General features: G+C 39.6%; 1 annotated feature.

The window, feature by feature from the left end:
• Positions 421-995: an enhancer, noted in NCBI's record as "OCT4-NANOG hESC enhancer chr13:70154274-70154848 (GRCh37/hg19 assembly coordinates)". NCBI's record gives its function as "activates a minimal SCP1, AML or CMV promoter by ChIP-STARR-seq in naive and primed H9 embryonic stem cells {active_cell/tissue: H9 hESC(naive and primed)}" and the evidence as "EXISTENCE:reporter gene assay evidence [ECO:0000049][PMID:30033119]".

Consider the following 1,236-nt stretch of genomic DNA (forward strand, 5'->3'; position numbering starts at 1 on the left):
TTGATTCCCTTGCTGTATGCTTTGTTCCTTCATGTTGAGTCTCTTTTGTCCTCCAAGAAAGAAATTGTGAAGGCTGCAGAAAGAAATATGCCAGGATATTAGAAAAGAAGCCCATACAATAGGGATAATGGGTGGATGAAATAGAAATAGTGTTGAGACATTGACTCAGCTATTGAGAAGTCGGCTGTGCAATGTATAATAAGAAAGGGACAAGGTGCATTGTGGTTCAGTTCCATTGCCTATTTTTAAAAAATGTTTTAAATACCTGAATTGATTTAGTTTTCTATGTTGAGTCAAAAGTTTTTTATTTCATCCTTTATGCTTTATCTGCTGTCTTAAACATAGTAACATTGCAATACTATATATCCTGAGCCTTTTGAATATTAAACAGATCAGTCAAATTTGACCTCTGATGCAACTGGTCTTGTTTTTGTTTGTTTGTTTTTACATTTGGTCTTCAGCTCCCTCTCGGGAAAATGGTTATAAATTCTAGGCCTGTCCTGACAGGCTCCACAGGATGTGTTTGTGGGTGTTTACAGTGTGCCTTTCATGGGACATTTCTTTATCCTGATGCATGGCCTAATACCTAGGTATCCAACCCATGACAAAGATTCCCTTTATATTGGCAGACACCCTTGGGGCTTTTGTCTGACCTATATCCAATGTATTCATACCAAGGTAGCTACCTTCCAGGAGAACCCTGACTGGGAGGAGAGTCAGGTTTAAGTACATCAGTCAGGTGAATCACAATGAGGAGACAGCACAGTAAACGACATGAAATCACAGAAGCATTTTGTTACTCATTGATCTATGAGAGAAGCAGGGTGGCCACTTGGGCAGGTGGAAAAATCCAGCAACAGCGGGGTACTCAACCAGTGGGTGGGTGGGGGGTGAGGGCCGAGACTCTGATGTTGACCATTGGGTTGAATCCTGCTCAGCAGCTGCAGGATGTGCTGGGTTTAGGGTCAGTGTGTTTAGAAATAAGCATGGCATCTATCAAACAGCTACAAAAGGAGGGGGAAGTTTTAACTAGACCAAAGGTGATGAGGTATGATTAGCTTTCAAATAACTTTTCAGGCCTAAAAAGGGATGTCAAGGCAGTGGCCATATCAAACAAAATTATAACACAACTATGATATATTTATCAATCATAAATGGCATTTATCAATAAATAGAATTATTTTTTATCTCATTTAAAATACCTATGCCAGGAGGATGGCTCAGTACTGATAATAT

This window comes from Homo sapiens, chromosome 13, assembly GCF_000001405.40.
Source record: "Homo sapiens chromosome 13, GRCh38.p14 Primary Assembly".
In the NCBI taxonomy this organism is placed as follows: Eukaryota; Metazoa; Chordata; class Mammalia; order Primates; family Hominidae; genus Homo; species Homo sapiens.